The sequence below is a fragment of the Homo sapiens genome, chromosome 6 (assembly GCF_000001405.40).
Source record: "Homo sapiens chromosome 6, GRCh38.p14 Primary Assembly".
NCBI classification, from domain to species: Eukaryota; Metazoa; Chordata; class Mammalia; order Primates; family Hominidae; genus Homo; species Homo sapiens.
The window spans coordinates 17,495,732-17,520,867 of record NC_000006.12 but is presented as its reverse complement, the minus strand read 5'-3'; the positions used below and the strand labels follow the sequence as shown (position 1 = coordinate 17,520,867).

The 25,136-nt window shown below is 40.9% G+C and overlaps 1 protein-coding gene and 1 long non-coding RNA gene across 4 annotated transcripts in view; one reads left to right on the top strand and one right to left on the bottom strand.

The window, feature by feature from the left end:
* Window positions 1–25,136, bottom strand: part of CAP2 (cyclase associated actin cytoskeleton regulatory protein 2) — a 164,186-nt gene that overhangs the window by 36,913 nt on the left and 102,137 nt on the right. For 2 of the 3 annotated variants that reach the window (NM_006366.3, NM_001363534.2), the window contains 3 exons: window positions 13,556–13,699; window positions 13,142–13,227; window positions 6,914–7,019 (listed from right to left, as the gene is read on the bottom strand). The exons of the other annotated variant lie outside the window; for it this stretch is intronic. In NM_006366.3, coding sequence (NP_006357.1) covers window positions 6,914–7,019; window positions 13,142–13,227; window positions 13,556–13,699 — 336 coding nt within the window. The remainder of the gene's footprint in view (window positions 1–6,913; window positions 7,020–13,141; window positions 13,228–13,555; window positions 13,700–25,136) is intronic. 3 annotated transcript variants of the gene reach the window in all.
* On the top strand, window positions 9,603–19,508 carry LOC101928491 (uncharacterized). Its single transcript, NR_110855.1, has 4 exons — window positions 9,603–9,763; window positions 12,175–12,295; window positions 17,520–17,654; window positions 18,881–19,508. It is a non-coding gene; the product is annotated as an uncharacterized LOC101928491 (long non-coding RNA).

Below are 25,136 nucleotides of genomic sequence, written 5' to 3'. Positions count from 1 at the left end.
TACAAGTTCTAAATGAAAATTTGGATATAAAAGCTTAAGAACAGTTTTCTCTTGTAAATAGCAAGAGGAAGGTAAAGAGGCCTGAAGACTTGAAAACGTACAAGGCATACATATTCATAGTTAATGACATGCCACAGAGTCTACATTATTTATAATAAGTCGGGATACCCTCTGGCTGAGTTTTAATTTGATCAAAAGTAAGCTATTAAACTTTCACTTTGTTAACAGACATTTGGCCTTTACACCAAGAAACAGAAAGAAAAGAAATATCTACCTGGAGGAAAAGAAGTGATCCTAAAGCATTTTGCTTTGGGAAAAATGAAACGCCACCTTGTCTATAATTGTAACCACCACCAACGACTTGCATTTTCCTGGAGGTTCAGGAGAGGCTAGGATGGATGATAGTGTATAGGATGGATTTTTAAAACCCGTATTATTAAGAATTACATTGGCTGGGTGCAGCTTATCATCCTACCATGCTTATCATCCTAGCACTTAGGGAGGCCAAGGCAGGCGGATCACTTGAGCCCAGGAGTTTGAGACCAGCCTGGGCAACGTGGTGAAATCACGTCTCTACAAAAAAAATATAAAAATTAGCCAGGCATGTTGGTGCACGCCTGTAGCCTCAGCTACTTAGGAGGCTGAGGCAGGAGGACTGCTTGAGTTCAGGAGGTCAAGGCTGCAGTGAGCTGCAATCGTGCCACTGTACTCCAGCCTGGGCATCAGAGCGAAACTCTGTATCAAAAAAACAAAACAAAACAAAAAACAGTAACAACAAAAAAAATAGAACTACATCACTATTACATAAGACTGTATATACATTCATCCATGTGCAGTTTTATTCTACTCTACAAATAATTATATCTTATTTGATCCCAAAGCTAAAGTAATTCAGAAATATAGGAAAGGACAGAAATATGTCAACAAGTTTAACAACCGAAAGTTAATAAAATAATCACATTTCTCCTAATCATAGAATTCTTTACATGACCTTTATCTGAGCAGAATTTTCTGAACAGATAATAGTCTGTTTTTAGAACAGGATAATAGTCTGCATTTATAGATTCACAGAAATGAAGAGTTTTGTAGGAAAAAAGTCAATTATTTCAATAATTATAAGGGTAAAGACTAGGCCTTAGTCTTTCGACTTTAGTTATCTGATTTGAAGGAAATGCCAAGGAATATTACAGCTCTGACCAACTGCGAGGGATCCTAAGTAACAGTGCTGCTAATGGGTTTGTGCCAAAAGATCAATTTGTTCAACGAAGTGCATTTGAAACTTAGCACTGAGGAAATGACACAAACTCATATGAAAAAGAGGTCCAGTCCCAAGGATGAAACTAACTGAAAACAGCAAGTTAGTTTCTGGTGTGGGGTCTTTCTAGTTGACAGCTGTCTTAATAAGTTGGAAAAAAGCTCATAGAAATGACAAGATTCCATTTACCATGGTAAATGTAAGAAGACATTCCAGACAGATTATTCCACAGCTGCCTCCTCCCACCCAACTCACCCCACCCCACCCGGCACACTTGCACACACACGTAGACTCTCTTCAAATCGCTGGTCTCAAAGTTTGGCATTTCACCCTGACAACTGAACAGGGCAGCAGTTGCCTGACACAGCTGCGGTCTGGAGGCAGAGGTTAGGAGATGGGATCAGGGACTTTCAGCTCCAACTGTTAACTCAGGGAAGGATGATTTTGTAGAGCCACGTGCCCTTGGACAGTCCAGGTCTCAAACAGCAGGCTGTCAGTCACTAAAAACCCCACAGAGTGCAAATCTCAAAATCCAATTTGAAAATAGAAAAAAACAACAATTACTGAAAGTACTTGAGATGTTAAGTCGTCATAAACTTTTCACGGTGCAAGTAGGAGTTTTGTGCAATGGACTGTGTCTGTTAAGATGGAATGGGTTTTTTTGAAAAACCTCTGGGCTGGATGTGGTGGCTCACGCCTGTAATCCCAGCACTTTCTGAGGCCGAGGTGGGCAAATTCCTTGAGCTGAGGCGTTCTAGACCACCCTGGGCAACATGGCAAAACTCTGTCTCTACAAAAAATAAAAAAATTAGCCAGGTGTGGTGGTGCAGGCCTGTAGTCCCAGCTGCTCGGGAGGCTGAGGCAGGAGGATCATTAGAGTCCAAGAGGTCAAGGTTGCAGTGAGCCATGATTGTGCCACTGCATTCCAGCCTGGGTGTCACAGTGAGACCCTGTCTCAAAAAAACAAAAAAATTAAATTAAAAAAAAAATCTCTGAATACTGTGGTGTCCACAAACATCAACACCACATCTTTCTATAGTCTTTCATGATATTTATCATTTTATAAATACATAGTTTTTACAGAGTTGTGATCAGTGGGCAAACAAATGAAATGGTCTTGCTTTATTTTTTCCTCCCAAAGACCATTCAATCAGATGATTCTAGGAGTCCTTTTCTCTTCTCTGCAAGAATGCTGCAACTCTGGCTATAACTGTTTATCCTCCATTTTGCTGGAATGTCGACAGGCCACAGTCAGAGAGGAGAAATTAGCTTGATTTATGCTATGGACTATGCTTTGGAATCTTTAAGTCGTTTTTAATAATTTAAAAGAAATTTGATTTTAAAATTCAAAAATATAATTGTTATAATATACTTTTTAATAGCTGCCCAAACCTTGGAAGAATAAGATAAAAAATCAGGAAATATATTTCTAGGCATATGTTTTAAAGCTTGACAAAAGATTTTTAATCATTTTTAATATCTGACCAAAACTTTATCATTTTCTCTTCCATTAGAGAAGTGAAGTAGATGCTTTGCTTTTACCATTTTGAATAGAATATTCCCCTGGCATATTATGTGAGCACATAATATGTATAATATAAATAACAGCTGTCATGGCAATCCATGATGCCTGATGTGCTCTATGGATCATATTTATTTTGTATAAATGTAACACGTTTTATAACTATTTATTTATTTATTTATTTATTTTGAGACCAAGTCTCACTCTTGTTGCCCAGGCTGAAGGGCAGTGGCACGATCTCGGCTCACTACAACCACTGCCTCCCGGGTTCAAGCGATTCTCTTGCCTCAGCCTCCCAAGTAGCTGGGATTACAGGTGCCCGCCACCATGCCTGGCTAATTTTTGTATTTTTAGTAGAGACAGTGTTTTGCTATGTTGGCCAGGCTGGTCTCAAACTCCTGACCACAGGTGATCCACCTGCCTCAGCCTTCCAAAGTGCTGGGATTACAGGCGTGAGCCACCACACCTAGCTTATAACACATTTTAAAAAATGTGAGATATGACTCACTAGTGGGGTCATGAAATCAATTTATTGGGTCTCAGCCAGAATTTTATAAAAAATGAAATAAAAAATAAAATATCTGAATGTGTTGTACATAGTAAGAGCAAGTATTGTTTTGTGAAGCTTGAACATAATAAGTATTCACTTTAGAACAAAGGAAGACAACTACATTTATATTTTTCTGTAATTAATAATCAATTCTCTTTTATATTCATAAACACAATTACTCAGCTTTGCACATTGCATTAAAGGTATTCAAACCATTTAAAAGTAATTTTCTATTCATTTTCCATGGGCACCATTAGAGAATTAACAGGCTAGCATTTGTTGACACTATTTTCCATAAATGGATTCTCATTCCTCTGGCCTTTATCTACCATGAAATAATAATAGAGCCAAGGGCTCCTGATTTTCATTTTACTGTTCTCTAATAATGATCTATCACCATGGCAAAGATGTGACACTTTCTCTTTATGATACATGGCTGTACAACAAAACACTATCTCATTGGAAATCGATAAAAAATAATTCCAATTAGTCTACATAAACACCCATCCATATCCACACATACCCTTACTTATTAAAACCCTTCACATGTTTTTGAATTCTCTTCTCAAAAGTCACAATGTTGTGGTTAGGAAAAAAAAAACAATCCGCTTAGTTGTATCTTGCACTGTGCATTTCAGTGCTATGGAGAAAATAGGCGAAGTAGAATATAAAAAGAAACATCAGTCTTGAAGGGTCGTGTTAACATTTGTAAAAGTGTTGGAAAACAAATGTAGAAGGCCCCACACTCTCTTGAAAAACCACAAACTCTCCTTTGGCATGAAGCCTGCTTACTATACTGACAGGGACATCCAGCATGGAGGGTTGGGTGCTGGGGTACTGCTTTCAGGACAGTGAGTTTTACCTCTGAATGGAATTCACAAAGAAGCTGTTTCATTCAAGTTAACATTAATTTCTTTATTTTATTTTGATTTCCATATGTTTTTGGTGAAGAGATGGCGTTTGGTTACACGAGTAAGTTCTTTAGTGGTAATTTGTGAGATTTTGGTGCATCCATCACCTGAGCAGTATACACTGTACCCAATTTGTAGTCTTTTATCCCTCAGCCCCCTCCCAACCTTTCCCTCAAGTCCCTTAAGTCCACTGTAACATTAATTTCTAATGGAAAGGAGTTTCCATGAAAAGCAAGTGCAGAGATTCAAAAGGGCAAGAAACATTCTAAGAGTCCCCTCATGATCATTTAGTTCAAACCATTTACTGAGCACTTACTCTGTGCCAGGCACTATACTAGGGGCTGGAGACAAGAGATGAGTTTCCAATCTAGTGGGAGAGTCCCAAAAGCACACAGTAAAGCACCATTCCACATGCTAAGGATATGACTGAGGTATACTCAAGATGCAAAGGAGGCAGACAGAGAGCAGAGCCAGTCAACCCAGATGGGGAGCTGATGGAGATCAATGGAAGTTTCTTAAAGAGGTGATGTGTGAGGTGAGTCTTGCAGAAGAGGTAGGGGTACCTCCCCGGGGGAAATTAGGTTATACAGCAGGATATAGGTTCAGGACATTGCAATAAAGGTTACACAATATGAGTTCGGTAAATTTTGAAACAACATCAATTTCATTTGGTGCAATCCAAGCACTGGCTTTGTTCAGGATACCACAAGGAGTGAGGGGTTGCTGGAACACACGGTGAGACATGGGAGAGGATGTGAGAGATAAAGCTGAAAGGGGCAAAGGTCAGCGCAACATCTCACATGGGAATTAAAGTGGGAACAGACACAGGCTGTGATCTTATGCTGCTACTAAGATACCAAAGTCCTAGGATCGCCTAGGTACTCAAAAATACTATTCAATACACTTTAGAACACTAAAAGAGAAGTTAAGAACATTTAAAGGACATTTTAATCATAATTCCACCTCATTAAAATGACATCTATCTTGTTCTCTTTTTTTTGGAATAATTTCAACCTTTACTTTAGGTTCAGGGGATACATGTGCAGGTTTGTTACGTGGGTATATTGTATGATGCTGAGGTTTGGGGGTGTGAATGATCCCGTCACCCAGGTAGTAGGCACAGTACCCAGTAAGTAGTTTTTCAGTCCTTGGACTCCTCCCTCCATCCTATCTCTAGCAGTCCTCAGTGTCTGTTTTTCCCGTCTTTATGTCCACGTGTACCCATTATTTAGCTTCCACTTGTAAGTGGGAACACACGGTATTGGCATTCTGTTCCTGAGTTAATTAGCTTAGGATAGTGGTCTCTAGCAGCTTCCATGTTGCTGCAAAGGACATGATTTTGTTCTATTTTATGGCTGCATAGCTTTCCATGTACACCTGTCTTCAAACCTTCTTGTTCCCTTCAATTTCTATCACACATTTTTTTTTTTTTTGAGACAGAGTCTTGCTCTGTCACCCAGGCTGAAGTACAGTGGCACTATCTTGGCTCACTGCAATCTCCGCCTCCCGGATTCAAGCGATTCTCTTGCCTCAGCCTCCTGAGTAGCTGGGATTATGGCGTGCACCACCACGCTCGGCTGTTTTTTGTATTTTTAGCAGAGATGGGGTTTTGCCATGTTGGACAGGCTGGTCTCGAACTCCTGACCGCGGGTGATCCACTCACCTTGGCCTCCCAAAGTGCTAGGATTACAGTCACCGTGCCCAGCCTCTATCACGCAATTTCTTAACATATACATCATCTTAATACTCATAAACTTTTGCAATTGACTTTATCACTTAACATTAACTGGTAAAGCATTTTAATGGCTGTAGAGTGTTTCATTGCATTCTTACCATGGACGACTTAGCCATTTCCTTTTTTGTTGTTGTTGCTGTTTGTTTGAGATGAAGTCTCACTCTGTGGCCCAGGCTGGAGTGCAGTGGCACGATCTAAGCTCACTGCAACGTCTGCCTCCCGAGTTAAGTGATTCTCCTGCCTCAGCCTCCCAAGCAGCTGGGATTACAGGCATGTGCCACCACACCCAGCTAATTTTAGTATTTTTAGTAGAGATGGGGTTTCACTATGTTGACCAGGCTGGTCTCAAACTCCTGACCTCAGGTGATCTGCCCACCTCGGCCTCCCAAAGTGCTGGGATTACAGGCGTGAGAGCCACTGCGCCCTGCCAGCCATTTTCTTTTCTATTTCTTTTCTATGTTATGTAGGGAGCTCCGAAATTTCTCCTACAACAAATGACATTTCCATAAACCGTTTCTACATGGGCTTTTTTTGGACAGAGTTTTGCTCTGTCGCCCAGGCTGGAGTGCAATGGTGCAATCTCGGCTCACTGCAGCCTCTGCCTCCTGGGTTCAAGCAATTCTCATGCCTCAGCCTCCTGAGTAGCTGGAATTACAGAAGTGCGTTACCATGCCTGGCTAATTTTTATATTTTTAGTAGAGACAGTGTTTTGTCATGTTTGCCAGGCTGGTCTTGAACTCCTGACCTCAATGATCTGCCCAGCTCAGCCTCCCAAAGTGCTGGGATTACAGGCGTGAGCCACCGCGCCTGGCCCTCCACATGGACATTTAATCTTACATTTTCCTTGAGGTAAGTTTTAAGGTGTGAGATTACTGGGCCACAGGGTGTATATATAGTCATGGCCTTTTTTTACACACGTGGAGGAAGGCCTCGTACTCACTGTTTTGCTCCATGTGAGGCCCGTGGTGTGGTGTTCCTTGATGTATGCTTGAAGTTCACTCCAAATGTTCAAATATGACTTCACCCAATCCACATGACGCAAATCACTTTGTTGTGAAAGAGGGTTGAAGAAAGCAGAGTTAGGATCTAAAATAAAATTTTAAAAAAATTGTGGGGGCACATGGTTATCTAGTGACTAGGGGCCCTGGAGCCCGGAGCAATCGTCCTTGCAACCCAGGCACCGTGAAGGGCTTCAGAAGGGAACCCTGGGAGGAAGCTGGCCCAGTACTCTCCTGAGGGGAGGCGGCAGGTGGCCGGATGCCCTGAGCTCCGGGTATGGAGCAGAGGTACCACAGAGAGGGGACCCGACAGAGCTAAGCTGACTTGAGTAGGGTGTCCTTGCACTGTCCCAGTCAGCCCTCACGTGACGGGGGCGTGGAGGGGAGACTGTTTCTTTCTGCACTGCTTCTGATGCAAAATGAGAGACAATATACTCCCAGGAATGAGAATGGTATTAAAAAGAAAAAAAAAGTCATTGGGTTCATTTTCTAATAATTCTGTTGAATTATTTGGTTAAAAGTATAACCAAATTGGAGAATTTTAGCCATTATGACTGACAAAGAAGTTGGTATAGGAAGAAAATTGATCTCTTACAAACAGGTAACACCCCTTACTTCTAAAGGGACATTTACTTAAATTCCCTTAATTTAATACTTTGAATGACAATACAAACCAGGCAAGGCATCACCAGTATTTTTATCTCTATTTTATTGAACCAAGGGCTAGTAAAATGCTTACCTTTTATAATGGGATTAACATACAAGATTGAAAGAATTGTTAGAAATATTAAACTTATAGATAGGTAAAAATAGTTGCATTTCCTTTCGGCAATTTTTACCTATAATATATTTTTTCTCACTTATAGAAGTCAAGGTAAATGCAAAAATAATGACATTTGAGTTAAGAAAAATTTAATTATGTTCCTGGGCCATTAATCTGAAGATAATCATGAATGGAAATCTCTATTATTAAAGCTCTTGTAATAATGACTTGTCTCTAGACATATTTTGTTTTCCTTGAAAAGCCCTAAAGTACCACCAGCATGTTTAGAATCCTATTGTATTAAGGCATGCCATTTAGAAGGAGTGAAATTGGGAACTGAAGTCACAATTATTCACTCCACAAATAGAAAAAATGTGAGTGTGGTTTTGTTCTACATTTTTAGATGTACTGATATATTCATCAAATGTATGAAAAATCTCATTGTCGCTTTACCTCACCTTCACAGTCAAAACTCAAAAACTAAGTGTAGCTCCAACGGTCTCTCTTGTTAGTTTCCTAAGTCTGTAGGGTCTTATAAGGGTCTTAGTACAGTGCCTAGCACATAGGAAGCAGTATACACATAGCTATTATTAGAGCATGAACATTACTTCAATATAAATGTACACACATATGTCTATGTTTATATGTGTATGTACATACAACACACATGTATGTTTGTGGACATTATAGAAATAGCATGTTGACATTCAATATACTTTCTTCTCTTTTTTTTTTTTAGAGACAGGGTCTTGCTCTGTCACCCAGGCTGGAGTGCAATGGTGAGATCATAGCTTGCTGTAGCCTCAACCTCCTGGGCTCAAGTGATCCTCCCACCTCAGCCTTCCAAGTAGCTGGGACTACAGCTACATGTGCGCCACCATGCCCAGATAATTTTTAAATTTTTTTGTAGGGATGGAGGTCTCACTATGTTGCCCAGGCTGGTCTCGAACTCCTGGCCTCAAGGTATCTTCCCTCCTCAGCCTCCCAAAGAGCTGGGATTACAGGCATGAGCCACCATGTCTGATTCAGTATATTTTCCATTAAAAAATTTAACAGTGGATGAAATTCAAGTCTATATGGGCAAATTCTTTTTTTTTTTTAACCAATGCAGTATTATTTTGACTTGAAGAACGTTCTAGCAAAACTTGTAATAAGGACTAAGAGTATGGTGCCCTTTTACCTGAAATCAGTCTTTAAGGGGTAACAAATTGAGCAGGACCCAAATACACATTAGGAGCTGCAAACCTATCTTCAGTTTTCATATACTCTGGAAGAAGCTATGGTAGGGGAATGTGAATTTTAATGATTATGACTCAGAGAGACCACACCTCTATAAAGCTAAAATAAATGACTTGCTGTATTCATATATTGAAAGAACCAGGCCGGGCGGGGTGGCTTACGCCTATAATCTCAGTACTTTCGGAGGCCAAGGTGAGTAGATCATTTGCGGTTAGGAGTTTGAGACCAGCCTGACCAACATGGCGAAACTCCGTCTCCACTAAAAATGCAAAAAAATTAGCTGGGTGTGGTGGTGCATGCCTGTAGTCCCAGCTACTCAGGAGGCTGAGGCAGGAGAACTGCTTGAACCCGGGAGGCAGAGATTGCAGTGAGCTGAGATCGTGTCACTGCACTCCAGCCTAGGTGACAGAGCGAGACTCTGTATCAAAAAAAATAAAAAAGAAAGAGAAAAACAGCCAATGAGCAGTCAAGCTGGTGGTAAGCGTTGCACAGATACAGATTTCACTGCTCACAGTCCTGTTTAAACCTCAAGGAAGTCTGCCTTTCTACTCCTCTACCTACGGTCCTACTGCCCAGTGGGCAGCAGTGACGCACAAATGACTGCGACACAGAGACGGCACCACGGGCTTGAGTCCACCGGTAAATGGGTGTTGCATGGTGTGGAGTATGCTGCTTAGTCCGCTTTCAGAAGCTCAAGGGTGACCTGGGAGTGCTTTGACTACTCCTAGCAGTAAAACGAATGCATTTGCACTTCCAGCTGCATTTCTTCGGCTTCTTGTACAGTCTTGAGGTAGTCCACTGAGCTTAACTGAGTCATCTTTGGTACTACTGGAAGTACATTTTCTACTTAATTGCTAGAGTTAACACTGAGGGGCAAATACTGAACCCTCTTTGTGAACAAAAAGCATGTAGAAAAGCCCAACCCTTTTGACTATGCTGCTACCTGGGGAGAACCCCTCACACCCACAGCCCCAACATATACTCAAGGAGGGACTGGGAGAAGGACAGGAGCTGATGAACTGAGATACTAATTAAAATAGTCTCCAAGGGTGGAAGGTAAAAAGGCAGAAACCTAGGTAGTGCTTGAGCTGTCCTGAACTGGCATGTGTAGGTGTGTGTCTGTATATCTGGAACAAAAGAAGTCACCATGGGTGTATGTTCATGCTGTCATATGATATCCAGGTTTGGGAATTGAAACTTGCTCTTTTCTGAAATGTTATTTTTATGTCAGAAGAACAGACCATCTTGCATTTCTGATGCCTTTCTCATGCGTGCCGCACAGTTCTAAAGTCTCTAATACAACACGGCAACATTTGGAGGCATATCATTGGGCACAATTGCCTTGATGCAAAAAGTCTGTAACTGAGCACAACTGTTTTAACCAAAGTTTTCTCGGGGTGGGCAGAGCCCCTAAGAGGAAAAGAGGCGCACTGAAGACCCTGGAATTCGGCGTTCTGTCTGCTAAAGCTCCTCTTCCCAAAAGCAACATGGAACGACTAAATTCTGTGAGGGGAATACAATGGCTGTTTGTTTTTCTTTTTGTTTTTTGAAATAAAACAGCTTTATTGAAATACAATTCACATCCCATACACTTCAACCATTTCCAGTGTGCAATTCCATAGTTTAGCTCAGCAGAGTTATCACTCAGTTGAGCAATCACCACCACAATCAATTTTAGAACATAATTCATCACCCCCCAAAAGAAACCCTACACCCATTAGCAATTACTCCCCAAAAGGGAATCATTACTAAAAACTTAAACTAAAAACTTAAAAAAAAACTTAAATTTTAAAAAGTTTAAGTTTTCCCTAAATTTCTCCAGCCCTAGGCAACTGTTAATCTACTTTCTCTTTCTATAGATTTGACTATCCTGGAATTTCACATAAATGTAATCATACAATATGTAGTCTTTGTGCCTGGCTTCTTTCACTTAGCACAATATTTTCAAGGTTCATCCATGCTGCTGCCCGAATAAAAGAATGAAGTATCAATACTTCATTCTTTTTTTTTATGGCCAAATAATATTCTATTGTGTGGATATACCATGTTTTATTTATCCATTCATGAGCTGATGAACATTTGGGTTGTTCTCATCTATTGGCTATTATGAATAATGCTGCAATGAATATTGTGTACAAGATTTTGGGTGAACATATGTTTTCAGTTCTTTTGGAAATACACCTAGGAGTGGAATTGCTGGATATGGCTCCTTTTTTTTTTGAGATGGAGTCTCACTTTGTCACCCAGGCTGGAGTGCAGTGGCACAATCTCAGCTCACTGCAACCTCCGCCTCCCGGGTTCAAGTGATTCTCCTGCCTCAGCCTCCTGAGTAGCTGGGATTACAGGTGCCCACCACCACGCTCGGCTTTTTGTATTTTTAGTAGAGACAGGGTTTCACCATGTTGGCCAGGCTGGTCATGAACTCCTGACCTCAAGTGATCCACCTGTCTCAGCCTTCCACAGTGCTGGGATTACAGGAGTGAGCCACCACACCTGGTCTGCTTTTTATAGTAAAAAAATATTGTTACATAGTTCTTAACTTGAGGGATGGATGTATAGGTATTTTTTTATATTGTAATCCTTAACATCTCGTGTGTATTTTATAAATATTCTTTTGTATCTACTCAATATTTTTAAAAATAAAAAAATCTACAAAAAAAGTGATGAAAATTTTGAATATGTAATATTAATTAATGGCCTGGAAGTATACTAGGTATTTATTTATGTATTTTATGCAATTTTTCTATATTCCATATAAAATTTGTCTTATATTGTTGTAGACCCTTTTCTTCTGGTTCTAATTTTCAGATCTGCATTAGTAAAATAAAGGAGTGAATTGAGGCCAGGCACAGTGGCTCATGCCTACAATCCCAACACTTTGGGAGGCTGAGGTGGGCGGATCACGAGGTCAAGAGATTGAGACCATCTGGCCAATATGGTGAAACTCCGTCTCTACTAAATATACAAAAATTAGCTGGGCGTGGTGGTGCGCACCTATAGTCCCAGCTACTTGGGAGGCTGAGGCAGGAGAATCGCTTGAACCCGGGAGGCAGAGGTTGCAGTGAGCCAAGATGCCAAGATCGCACCACTGTACTCCAGCCTGGCAACAGAGTGAGACTCCATCTCAAAAAAAAAAAAAGAAGGTGAATTGAAGCAATAATCCAATAATGCAGGTTCTTTAATTTCCTTCCACCTGAACAGTCTGGGTCAACACATGAGACGTCCCCAGGTGCCTCTGCATTTGCTGACCAATGGTCACTTCTGTTGCTGCCATCTAAGAGCTCAGAGGGAGATCCACTCTTGAGTCCAGGGCCAGAAGCAGGTAGAACCTTGTTGCTCTTATATTTGCCTCATCCCTTCCCTTAGTTCCTAGGCACCAGCCACATCACATTTAGCCAGCTGTTTAGAGTACAAGGCACGACCTTATCAGAGGGGTTGGAATCTCATGATATCCTTTAAATAGTTTAGGACACATTTTCCTGGATATTTCTTCAGCTCTGCCATGTCTCCGTTTGGGCCTATTTTCTATTCTGACTCCAGTTTAAGTTACTCTGGGATCTATTACTTGTGCTGTCGAACGCAAGGTCCTTTCACGCTGGTTCACCAGGCAAAGCCCCTTGGTTTAGACTCATCTATACTTTCAGCAGCACTCTGAATGGCTGCTAGTCTTCCAGGTGTCTCTGCGTACACCCCAGTTGTATTTCATATTAACTGAGTCTCTGGTTTCCTTCTCACTGCTCTGGTTTGTTGTTTCACCTCATTTCTGTTCTTGATTCACACTTCATTTCCTGATTCCTCCTCTCTTCTATAGCTCACCCTCCAACTCTACTTTGATGCATGTAAAGGTTCTGTACCATATAGGGTTGTTCCATCACCAAGCTCTCTGATTATTGTGGGAATACATAAGATAGTGACATGCATTCAAGTGGGGAGAGTTTATTCATTATGAGAGAACTGAGGCAGACTTTCTAAAACCCATATATTATCTGGATAATTGATTCCACTTTCCACTTGACTTTATCTGCAAAGATTAGATTTTCCTTTAAAGTTTATAGTACATTAGTGTAGAGCCTTGGAAAGGAATCAGTAGTTAACTGGACTGAGTTTTAGGGACAAATGTCTAACAAGTAATCAACTGAAAATTTGGTGAGTAAAGGAAGGTACGTACCTGTGTTTGTAGTCCTTTAAGACCCTGTTAGTGTAAAAGGTGGCAGCGTCATTCATCTCCTTGACATAAGGACCAGGTTTGGGAGACTGAGAAAACAGGACCGTCACCCAAGCATAGAAGGAAAAAAAAATAGGATAAGAAAGAAAATGCCTTAAAGAAGAAGAAAAGCAATGGAGACGCGTGGACTTGAAAGTGGGAGGCACATGTTGCTCTGTAAAGGTTGATAAAAACACTTTCTACAGTATCTCAGAACAGAAAGCTTGAACTTTAAACAGGGTAGGAGAAAGTGGATGCATTCAGCCCAGGAAGAAGCTTCCTTCAGTGCAAGGAGCGTGAAGGTAGCTAAGCTACTAGTTCTCCTAAATACTCCAAACGTGTGATGAGGTGAAGAGGCAACATTGCACCTGGACTCACCACAGCTATCCATCCAAGGGCAGGGATGCTTTCGCTGACGGCCGAAAGATGATTAAACATGTTACTCCCCCGGTTTCTCTCTCTGAAAGTTTGGATTTCCTGAATCTTTTCCGATATGGGTTTCAGAAGTGCGGCCACGTCATTCTGTAAGCAGTCAAACATCGGGGGCTTTTACTACAGACAGAGCAGACGCATAGCACCTCTATCCATGTTGGCCTAAGCAGGAGAATTCAGGACCTGCCGTCTGTTAAGGGGTCTAAAAGAAACATATAATCATCTTTGAGAACAGCATGCATTTGTTCTTGGTTATGGTAATGCCGTGCTTTTACTGTCTGAAGTATGAAAATTGCAGATATTTTTAACATTATTAATGCTGTGGCTTGAGATGTGGAAAAAACCCAGCAGTATGGCACAGCCCCCATTTTGAAGACTCCTTCATGGAAGACAGTGAAATTGAGTGTTGATCATTTATATTTCAAATGGCAAATAGATCACACACTGCAATAATCCTGGTATAAATTTGGGTAAGACCGGAAGGTTAGTAAAATGACTTCATCCTATTCCTGTGGAAAATGCTTTGGGAGAGGCTTCCTGGTTTCACCACAGTTGCCATAATCCATGTGAAAAAGTGGAAATCTTTCACTGAGGCCTCCCCCGCAACCCTTTTTTTTTTTTGAGATGGAGTCTCACTCTGTCCCAGGCTGGAGTGCAGTGGCGCGATATTGGCTCACTGCGACCTCCGCCTCCCAGGTTCAAGCAATTCTCCTGCCTCAGCCTCCTGAGTAGCTGGGACAACGGGTGGCTGCCACCACGCCCAGATAATTTTATTTTTAGCAGAGGTGGGGTTGGCCAGGTTGGTCTTGAACTCCTGACCTCAAATGATCCACCCACCTCGGCCTCCCAAAGTACTGGGATTACAGCTGTGAGCCACCACACCCAGCCCTTTTTAAGAAAATGTGATGGCTTATCATATTTACAGTGACTTTAGTCTTTGTTGGCATTCTACATTGTCCCCAGTCCACTTCGCCTATGGCTACAGGTCACACTCAATTCTGCTAATTCAGCAACCGACTTCTCCATTCATACAAAAATAACTTTCAGAATTAGATGAGCTGGCTGGGCGTGGTGGCTCATACCTGTAATTCCAACATTTTGGGAGGCTTAGGCGGGAAGATCGCTTGGGGCCAGGAGTTCAAGACCAGCCCAGACAACACAGCAAGACCCCACTTCTACAAAAAAAAATGTGAAAAATGAAGTGGCTGTGGTGGTGTGCTCCTGTAGTTCCAGCTACTCAGGAGACTCCAATCCTGGGAGAGTTAGAATTACCCAGGAATTTGAGATGCAGTGAGCTGTGACTCACCACTGTACTCCAGCCTGGTGCCAGAGTGAGACTCTGTCTGAAAAAATATGTAAATAAGTAAAAATAAGAAATGAAAAACAAAATGACATGAGCTGAGTTATAAAGTATCTCGGAGCTAGATTCTCCAGAATACCACAGTTGCTTTAAACATCTCCTCATCTACATCCTTAGCATTCTCTAATTTCTCTAGGTGTGTTGAAAAGCAGATACAAGGTTGTTTATCAGATTTTTGTGTGTGCTCCAAAGAAACAGCAAAGGTCCTGTACTTCAGCTCTGTGGAAGCAGTTAAAGAGCTTTAAGCAGTATTTTAGTAAATCTTGTTTGCAGGAGGTAAAATAGAAAAGCTCCTTACAGCTCTTTAATTTCTGAGATTTCAGAGCAATGGTTCCCAGCCTTGGCTACATATTAGAACCACCTTGGGGTTTTTAAAAACCACTAAGGCCTGGGTTCCACCCCTAGCAATTCTGATTTAACGGGTCCGGGGGTGGCCTGGGTGAGGGCAGGGCGATTGTTTAAGCTTCCCAGGTGATTTCAATCATTGCTGCAGCGGTGGCTTCACACCCCAGAGGGCAGTCATTTCTGCCACGGACAGCAAACTATTAGGAAATAAATTATGTGCAGCTGCGGTAGCTTTTAGACTTTACCTCTCCTTCTAAACCCCTTTATATACCCTCCTCTGAAAAGAATGTTGAATGTAAGGGCTTTGGAATTAGAATGGCCTTGGTTCAAACAGCTTTGGTGCCTATGGGGCCTTGAGCAAATTACTTAATCAGATCCTTAGTTTCCTCATCTATAAATCAGAGAGAATACCTACCACCTACAGGCTACAGGAGATACTGCATTTTAAAGCCCTGGCACATGGGAGGTACACAATAAATAGAAGTAATTATTATTATTTCCATGATGCAGTTAACTCATACCAGAGGTAAAAAGGATGTTGTCCCCTGTAATATGTGATATTCATTTGTTTAAAATAAATATGCATTCAAGATATGAGAAGCTCCAAACAGACATCTATATAGATTAACAGGATTTTAGGATTCCAGGAGTCTAAACTGGGTCACCTAGTTCAGCTTTTTGACAAATCCAATAGAATAGGTCACAATTAATATTTAAAAATCATGAAAATAGATTAGAATAGAAAATATCAGAGGGCATTCACATGTAATAAGGATGGATATTTTGGTATTAAACACTTGTTTTGGTTATGAAGTGTGTGTGTGTGTGTTTGTGTGTGTACTGGGTTGCCAAATAAAATGTATTTCTTTTTATGGATCTAGCCTAAAAGTTTGAGAAACATGGCCGTAATCCAATTCTCCTATTTTACATATGGAATACGAGCTCAGAGAGGTTAATTGACTATGTCAAGACCAGCTAGCAATGATTAGTGGAGCTGGAACTGGAAGCTAGGTCTTCGGGGAGGCCCTGAGACAATTCTCGATACTGGGTGCTGAGAAAAATATGGTTAGTTCTCTACATACAGGTTTCTTCTCTACCAATAAGACTAGGGAAAGGTGTTAGAAGAGATTAAGAGCAAAGGTTCTAGAATGAGACTTCTTGGGTTCAAATCCTTGCTCCACAGTGTACTCAGCTCTGGGACTTTACACCAATTACCACACTTGTCCAAGATTCCCTTGTCCCATCTGCAAGCTAGGGTTGACAACAGTACCTGCTTCACAGGTATGTTAGGAGGAGTAAATGAGAGAACATGTCATGCTTGGTAAAGGGTCAGGTATACTGTGGGTGCACAACAGGTGGCTGGTTTTCTCCAAGGTATCTGCCAGTTACAAAGCCTCTGATTGGCCGAGTTCACTGACTAGCTCTTTCCCATCCCTTATATGCAAACACAAGGAGAGTGGTTTCCTAACTGACATATGCTGAGGGACAGAGGCACACTTCTGTTTGGGGGAAACAAAGAAATACAGGGAAAGAAAGCAAAGTGCTCTCAAGGTTCCCAGTGGACTTTTTAGCTATCCATTACTGAAGGAGGGGAAAAACAAAAACATTTGCTGCAGAAGCTAGTCAGCTCTTGTGGAAAAGCCATGAATATCTTCCTGTCTCCTCTCTTTCCCTTCTGACAACTACAAAGCAAAGGGCTTATGGATTTGGTGAAAAGACCTTGAATCAGAGTTGTTAGGGACTGCACTCTGTGCACCTGCCCCCCAACCAAATTCATATGCTAAAGCCTTAACCCCCAGTACCATATTTGGAGAAAGGATCTTAAATATGGTGGGAATGCAACCATATTTGAAGATAGGGTCTTTAAAGAAATGATTAAATTAAAATGAGGTCATTAGGGTGGGCTTCAATCCAATATGACTGGTGTCTTTTTTTTTTTTTTTTTTTTTGAGATAGAGTTTTGCTCTTGTCGCCTAGGCTGGAGTGCACCGGCACGATCTTGGCTCACTGCAACCTCCACCTTCCAGGTTCAAGCAATTCTCCTGCCTCAGCCTCCCAAGTAGCTGGGATTACAGACACACGCCACCACACCCAGCTAATTTTTGTATTGTTAGAAGAGACGGGGTTTTGGTTTCGCCATGTTGGCCAGGCTGGTCTCAACCTGTGATCTGCCCGCCTCGGCCTCCCAAAGTATTGGTATTACAGGTGTGAGCTATGGCACCCGGCCTGACTGGTGTCTTTATAAGAAGAGGAGATGAAGACAGAGACACACACAGAGGAGGCGTGGGGAGAGACCAACCCTGCCGTCACCTTGATCCTGGACTTCCAGCCTCCAGAACTGTGAGGAATTTCTGTTGTTTCTAATCTACCTGTCTGTGGTACTTTGTTAGGGCAGCCCTAGCAAACCAATGCAGGGGTAATGGCAGTTCAGGGACTCCTTACCTCCAAATTCTCAACAATAGAACAAACAAAAACCCCTCTAAACACTCCTGGCCCCAAATACAATTATGTCATGCTTGTTTGTTAATGGCTGCCAAAAATCAGTTTTAAATACCCTCCCTGGAGCTTCATTCTTTAGAAAGCAAACATCTCCTTCTTTGGGGGATTGTTTTCAGTCCAAATACAACACCTGATCAAAGGTGTGGCATCAGTTTCCCCAGAAGGCAGCTGATTTTTAATGATGGCAGAACTACTAAAAAAAGCTTCCTAATTTTCTCCAACAATTTGCTAAGTCATAATGTTCTTAATGTAATGACATTTTTGAGAAAGGCCAGAATATCTGTATTGTTGATGATACCTGGCCCACTGCCCCAAGGGGAAAAAGAACCAGAAACTGTATATTTATAACATTAGAGAGATTTATTAAGGCCATCTTTGTTTATCTCTAACTTCCCTAGAACAAACTCTAAAGTCTGAGGAGACAGAGTCTTCTGGAAGATACTTTATATTGGTTATCTGATGAAAGCATCATAAAGATTGAGAAAGTTTTCTTTTGCTTTAGCTTGGCAATTATGTGAAGAATTGTCATCATTAAAAAAAAAAGCAATGTTGACAGAACTAAGTACAACAGCTATTTGCACAACTCTAATAAACATTAGTGCTTTTATTCTGTGCCAATAGATTTCTCCTGTACTTTAAAGAAGTCTTATCTTCACCAGTTCATCCTGACTTTCAAGGCAGGAATCAAAAATAGAAGAGAACATTAGAGTGATGGTGTGACTTCCATCAAAGCTGGAGCTGGTTGTGTGGGATGTCAGACGAAAAGTCAATGGGGGGTCTATGAGAGGTACTTCAACTTGTTTCAGTATTAAGCGTATATTAGGCACACTCAATCAATACAGGCTGATTTGCATTGATGTCAATTAAAATTACATAAGGGTTTTCCACTAAAGAAGGAGCTCATCTAAGAGGTGTCCTGGTTTTCTGTCAAGGGAGTGCATTGGTGGTAGCTCCCCAGATATGTCTAGCAGCTAGTGTGCTTTGCAATGACTTTTACATAGATGTCACTCAGATTACTTTTTGTTAACGTCTCACTGAGGTTTCTTTGATTCTCAATAATTTCTCAGAATTCAGGTGAAGATGAGCTGAACCTGCTCCCTGGCCTTCCCCTAGTTTCTGTGGCTTGTGACAGAAGGTGGAAAGGACCAACATGGAAGAGATGCATGAACAAACTGCATGTTTTCAGCAAACGTTTCCAAGGGTTATCTTAGCTGGATGCGACTGTACTTTGGAAGAGTATTTTAGGACTCCATGTCTTTATGACCCTAGCTTCTGCTTTAAAGTTGAAGAACTGAGTCCTGTTATCAGCTTCATCTCTGTTTGGCTCCCAAAGTAAGGGAATTGTTTTGCAAAAGTAAGATGAGTTTTATCAGCAAGCTTTGTAGAAACTTTACCCAAAAAGGAAAACCAGATTCCCACTCAGGCTGTTTTGTAAGAGACGGCACAAACTCTGGGAGTTTGACCTCAAAGATGTATCACTGAGCAAAACAAAATAGGCCTGTTATTTCTGGAACCCATGGTTCTCATGTAGTTCTGTATCAGGTGGAAAATGGTTCAGTCATTGTTACTTCTTTTTAACGAATTTCTTTTTCTGATTATAAAAATCAATATATGCTCTTCGTGAAACACTGAAAAATACAGACGTAAAACATAAGTAAACAATAAACATTCTGCATTCCACCACATGGAAAAAAAGTAGTGCTAAAAGTTGGTGTTCATTTTTTTTCCCGTAGATGTAATTATTCATTGCTTCTCGGCCTTTTGGCTAAGATCAAGTGTAGATGTAATTACTGGAGATATTTTCAGAAATAATAATAATTACTTTTTAAGTAATGGCGATTCAAACCATAAGAATGATTCTAAGAGTTTAATTCAAACAGTTCAATGAAAACAAACAAGCACACAAATAAAATCCCATCAGTACGTTCCTGGCGTGTATTGTGAGAACTCTATCATTTGAGAAAGAATGATTTCAAGGTAATGACATTTGCATTACCACTACAACTCAAACTTAAAAGCATTAAAGTAAAATTTTGAAAAAGGTTTGGGTTCCACCTACATTTAAAATTCCAAGAAAGCTCATATCAAGCAGTATGTATTAGTAAACCACACTACCAAATATTAATCATTATTACTTTGGCTTATGTGTTTTTGTGTAAAGTTTCACTAGTTTATTCCATTTGGATGCATGTGTGTATGTGTGTGAGTGCACAGCACAGAAAATGTATGGAAAGATATACATCAAAAAGTGTCAACATAGAACTGTTATTTAATTTTATTGGCTTATCTATATATTCTAAATCTTCTAACATGTACATACATTTCCTTTGCAATTAAGGGAAAAGTTTTAAAACATTTTAACCAGTTTCACACCTTCAAAAGTAGAAAATATTTCACATAGGGGCTGTTAAGTTTGCATGTGTCACAAAATATTAAACCTCCTTCCAATCAGGGAAGAAGCTTTAGGAAAACACATTCGGAAGTTGCCAGAATAAATTATACAGGTGAAGAAGAATAAAGTTTTCTCAAGCAAAGGTTATCCAAATCAGGAACAGTATTTCGGGAGGCTGAGGCAGGAGAATCGCTTGAACCCGGGAGGCGGAGCTTGCAGTAAGCCGAGATCGTGCCACTGCACTCCAGCCTGGCAACACAGCAAGACTCCGTCTCCAAATATATATATATATATATATATATATATATATATATATATATATTTGGACACACACATATATATTTGGACACATTCTAATAATTGAAGCAATTATTTTCACCATTTAAAGTCAGCAGCAATTTTTTACAAATCAGAAATGTTCAACTGAGTTAACTTTTGCTTTGGTGCAATTGTAGGTATTTCCCTAGGCTAGCTCCCTTCTTGTTGAGTCCCATTAAATAAAAATTTTTTACTGTCCAGGAACATTTTGGAGATTTCAGAATACGTCCATGGAGATATTTTCAAAAACACTTGTACAATTTAAACAATTTAAAATGTTTGCAAAACCTAGTGAGCACCACTCATGTACATGATTTTACAACAGTTGCCATTATATTGAATAATAACAGATTCCTTGGGAAATATTTTTACATCTTTATAAGACTTGATGGTTCATATATATTCCTTATTTTAGGGTTGCTAAACTTTATGTTCCTTATATTCCTTATATACTATATTTGCTTTTATTTATTTATTTATTTATTTATTTATTTATGACAGGGTCTCACTCTGTCACCCAGGCTGGAGTGCAGTGGTGCAATCTTGGCTCACTGCAACCTCAATCTCCCAGGCTCAAGAGATCCTCCAGCCTCACCCTCCCAGGTGGCTGGAACCACAGGCATGTGCCACCAGCCCTGGCTAAGTTTTTGATTTTTTGAGGAGACTGGGTCTCCGTATGTTGTGCCCAGGCTGGTCTTGAACTCCTGGGCTCAAGCAATCCTCCCACCCCAGCCTCTCAAAGTCTGGGATTACAGGCGTGAGCCACCGTGCCGGAGCTATATTTGCTTATATTATCTAAAAATCATTCTTCAAGAATATAAAACCTGGTGACTTGGTCTTTCAGAGGATGCATTGCTTTGGATAGTTACGTTGTCGTGGTATCTCAGGGAGAAGCTTTTTAACATGCATAAACTCCTACTTTAATTTTTTTTTTTTTTTTTTTTTTGAGATGGAGTCTTGCTCTGTCACCCAGGCTGGAGTGCAATGGCATGATCTCAGCTCACTGCAACGTCCACCTTCTGGGTTCAAGCGATTCTCCTGCCTCAGCCTCCTGAGTTGCTGGGATTACAGGCGTGTGCCACCACGCCTGGCTAATTTTTGTATTTTTAGTAGAGACGGGGTTTCACCATGTTGGCCAGGCTGGTTTCAAACTCCTGACCTCAAATGATCTGCCCGGTTCAGCCTCTAAAATTGCTGGGATTACAGGCGTGAGCCACCACTTTAAAGCCCTTATTTTAATTTTTAATGCTAATCTTTCAACAATCTCATTGGCACATTTTTTTTTTCAGTAATAGTTTTTGTTTTTAAAGCAAGCTGGCCGGGCGTGGTGGCTCACGCCTGTAATCACAGCACTTTGGGAGGCCGAGGAGGGCGGATCACGAGGTCAGGAGATTGAGACCATCCTGGCTAACACAGTGAAACCCCACCTCTACTAAAGATACAAAAAAATTATCTGGGCGTGGTGGCGGGCGCCTGTAATCCCAGCTAATCAGGAGGCTGAGGCAGGAGAATGGCGTGAACCCAGGAGGCGGAGCTTGCGGTGAGCAGAGATCGTGCCACTGCACTCCAGCCTGGGCGACAGAGCAAGACTCCATCTCAAAAAAATATAAATAAATAAAATAAATAAAATAAAATAAAACAAGCTATTTTAGACATACAGAAAAACATAATAATGATGACAGGCTCCCATTTATAATTTAATTTAATGTTTAATGGGGGCCCAGGATCATCATTACGATGCCCCTTTACTGACATCTTCAGGAGAAAGGAAGAGATCTGGAGCCTGGGACATAGAACTATTTAAATAAGACCTCCGGGGCAGCCCTGAAGTTTGACATGAGATTGTTCTACTGCTCTATAAAGGTAGAACAATACACTTGCAGTTGCAAATTGGGCATTTTTAATACAATGTCTTTTCTGCAAAAGTGTTCAGCAAATCATAGGGTAAAATGCCTTCTCTGAAGTCATTTTTGTATCCTTCAGATAGATAATAATCTACGTTGTCATTACCAACATATTTTAACTTGTCAGAATCATTCAAAGTCTTCTCTAGGATTTTGGGGCCACTGACACAATGAACAGTAGACACGTTTTTTTGTCACTTCCCACTTACTATTCTTTGTCTTTGCCATTGTTCACAGATGTGATTCCCATCTCATCATTTCTAGATTTTGTGCTGCAGAATTTGAGAGAGTGCTCACTCTAAAACCTACAAGTTATACATCAGAACAAGAACACAGTTCTGTTGACATGATGTGTGGGCCACAATTTTCTCTATGCTGTCAATGTCTGACACTTTTCCGAAGGATAGGTTATGTGAGAGGAAAAGTCAAGTTGAATGGAAATGTAAACGTTTAACACAATGACCCACGATGTTACAATAGCCTCACAATAGCTCATATCCTGAATCTTAATGCCACACCAGGGCTTGGGAGACCATAAAAACAGAACAAAATAAACAAACAAGAAAACCCTTCACATTAACTGTTCCCTCAGGTTGAGATTTATAGTTTTCATTACAGTTGTTCTGATAGATACTTGACTGGTAGTGCAAAAAGCTAACAGTCCAGTCAGAGAAAACATATCTTTTCCATTCATGCATCAGTGTGCAGCCAACTAATGAATATGGGAGACAGAGGAAGCTCTAGTGTATTTCCCTTGTATAAGGGAACTTGACAACATGAGTTCCAGAAAATGCTGGATTCATGGCAGGGGCATGGGATTAGCTGAATTATTTGAGATCCAGGAAGGAAGTAGTGGATCAATACTAGGCAATGACAAATAACGACATACAAAATTGCTGCAGAGAGAAACCAGACGTTTTGGAGAGAAAATTAAGTTGAAAACCAAAGCTTAACCTAGTTGTCTACAGTAAGTATAACAGAACAGATCAGGTGGCTAAGAAGAATCTCATTTTGTATTTTGTTCTTATTTCAGCTTACTGGTTCAGCTGAGAAGATACCAACTCTTACCCTATCAGGGAGGTATCATCTGGCTTCTGACAGCGATGAATTTTATAATCACCTATAATTTCACTTTGTGAGATTCTGCACATAAAAGCTGAGGAGCAGAGGGTCTCACTTGAGCTTTACTTAAACCCAGAGGGACTTCACTAGTAATCCCTAGGGACAAAAATTGGAGAAAACTGCTGAAACCAATCGAATTCATCAGCTTTATAAAATCTATGACAATGTATAGTGATCAGAAATTAGTTCTTTGAAATAGCAAGAAAAAAATTCTTCTGAACTGCAATTCATTTTTCATTCTGTCAACATTTGATGTGCATTGACTATATGCCAAATACCACGCTGATAGGTTTTCATCTGTTGTCTCTACTTTCAAATGATAAATCTCAGTTTAAACTACCAAATCCACCATTTGAAGTTCCCAGCCCAGTCAACTGAATTTGCTGGGTCACTGTCTCTCTCCTCTTAAGTGGCCCATGGTAGAGGGATGGCCAGATCTTTTCTCTGAGATTCATTTATGTAGAACGTGGCTGAAATGATGTAAATCTACAGTTTCCACCTCAAACTCAGCAGATGCAAAGAATTTCAACAACTCCCCTGTGAGTGTTAAGATATCCCACAGGGTAGATGAGCCATTATTGTACCGAGCCACTGATACTTAGCTCCAGTGATCCTTAATCGGAAACTGCTTTCTCTTTTAAGGGTAACATCATCTTCCTAAGATTCCATTGTTTGTTATTCTCAGGAGCAAACAGCTGGGAGTGGCGGCTCACACCTGTATTCTCAGCACTTTGGGAGGCTGAGGTGGGCAGATGGCTTGAACCCAGGAGTTTGAGACCAGCCTGGGCAATAGAGTGAGACTGCATCTTTACAAAAAAAGAAAGAAAGAAAAAAAAACAAAACAGAGCAATGCATCCCATAGAGCACTAGCTCATTTGGTGAGTAGCTCAACATGAGCCGTGCTTCCTGGTCAACAGGGTTGGGAGGCTTCTGCATATGGCGCCCCCTCTTTTGGTGGCCCACAATTCACTTCAGAATACTGAACAAGATACTAAAGAAACCTGTTTAACTTTGCGTAACCTGATGTTTTTCAAGCTTTTTGATCCACGGAGCTTTTAATTTCACCCACAGTTTTCTAAGGAACTGGTATTCTGTGAATAGACCCAGGGAGATGCTGCTATAAGAGGCCTGTGGGGTAGCTTCAGGGTTTCATGGAGGCCTGCTGGGCTGCTCACTGTGTATTCATTTGCCCCTTCCTCTCTGGTTGTCTCACTTATAACCATGGAGATGCTTTCAAGGGCATTTAACAGAGGTAAAGCAGCCTGTTTTCCCTGACTTACCCCCCCCCCCCACCCACACACGCATGCACAGCAGTTGCTTTCAGGAGCTATAAACATCTCTGGATGGGCTGCTGGCATAGCTATCCCCCCACTGCACTGGGATTCTGTCCTCTGTTGCTGTCTTTTCTGCAGGTCATTTGTTGGCCAGCCCTGTCCCCACTTCTAACAACTCCCACCATTGACAGTTACAGTCTCTTTCCTGTCTCTTTCTCTGTATTTTCTTGCTTTCTCTTTCACACACCTAAACTTGTGTGAAAAAGCAGGCTTTTTAAGGAAAAAAGCCACTAAATTGCAGTCTTTTTCTTTT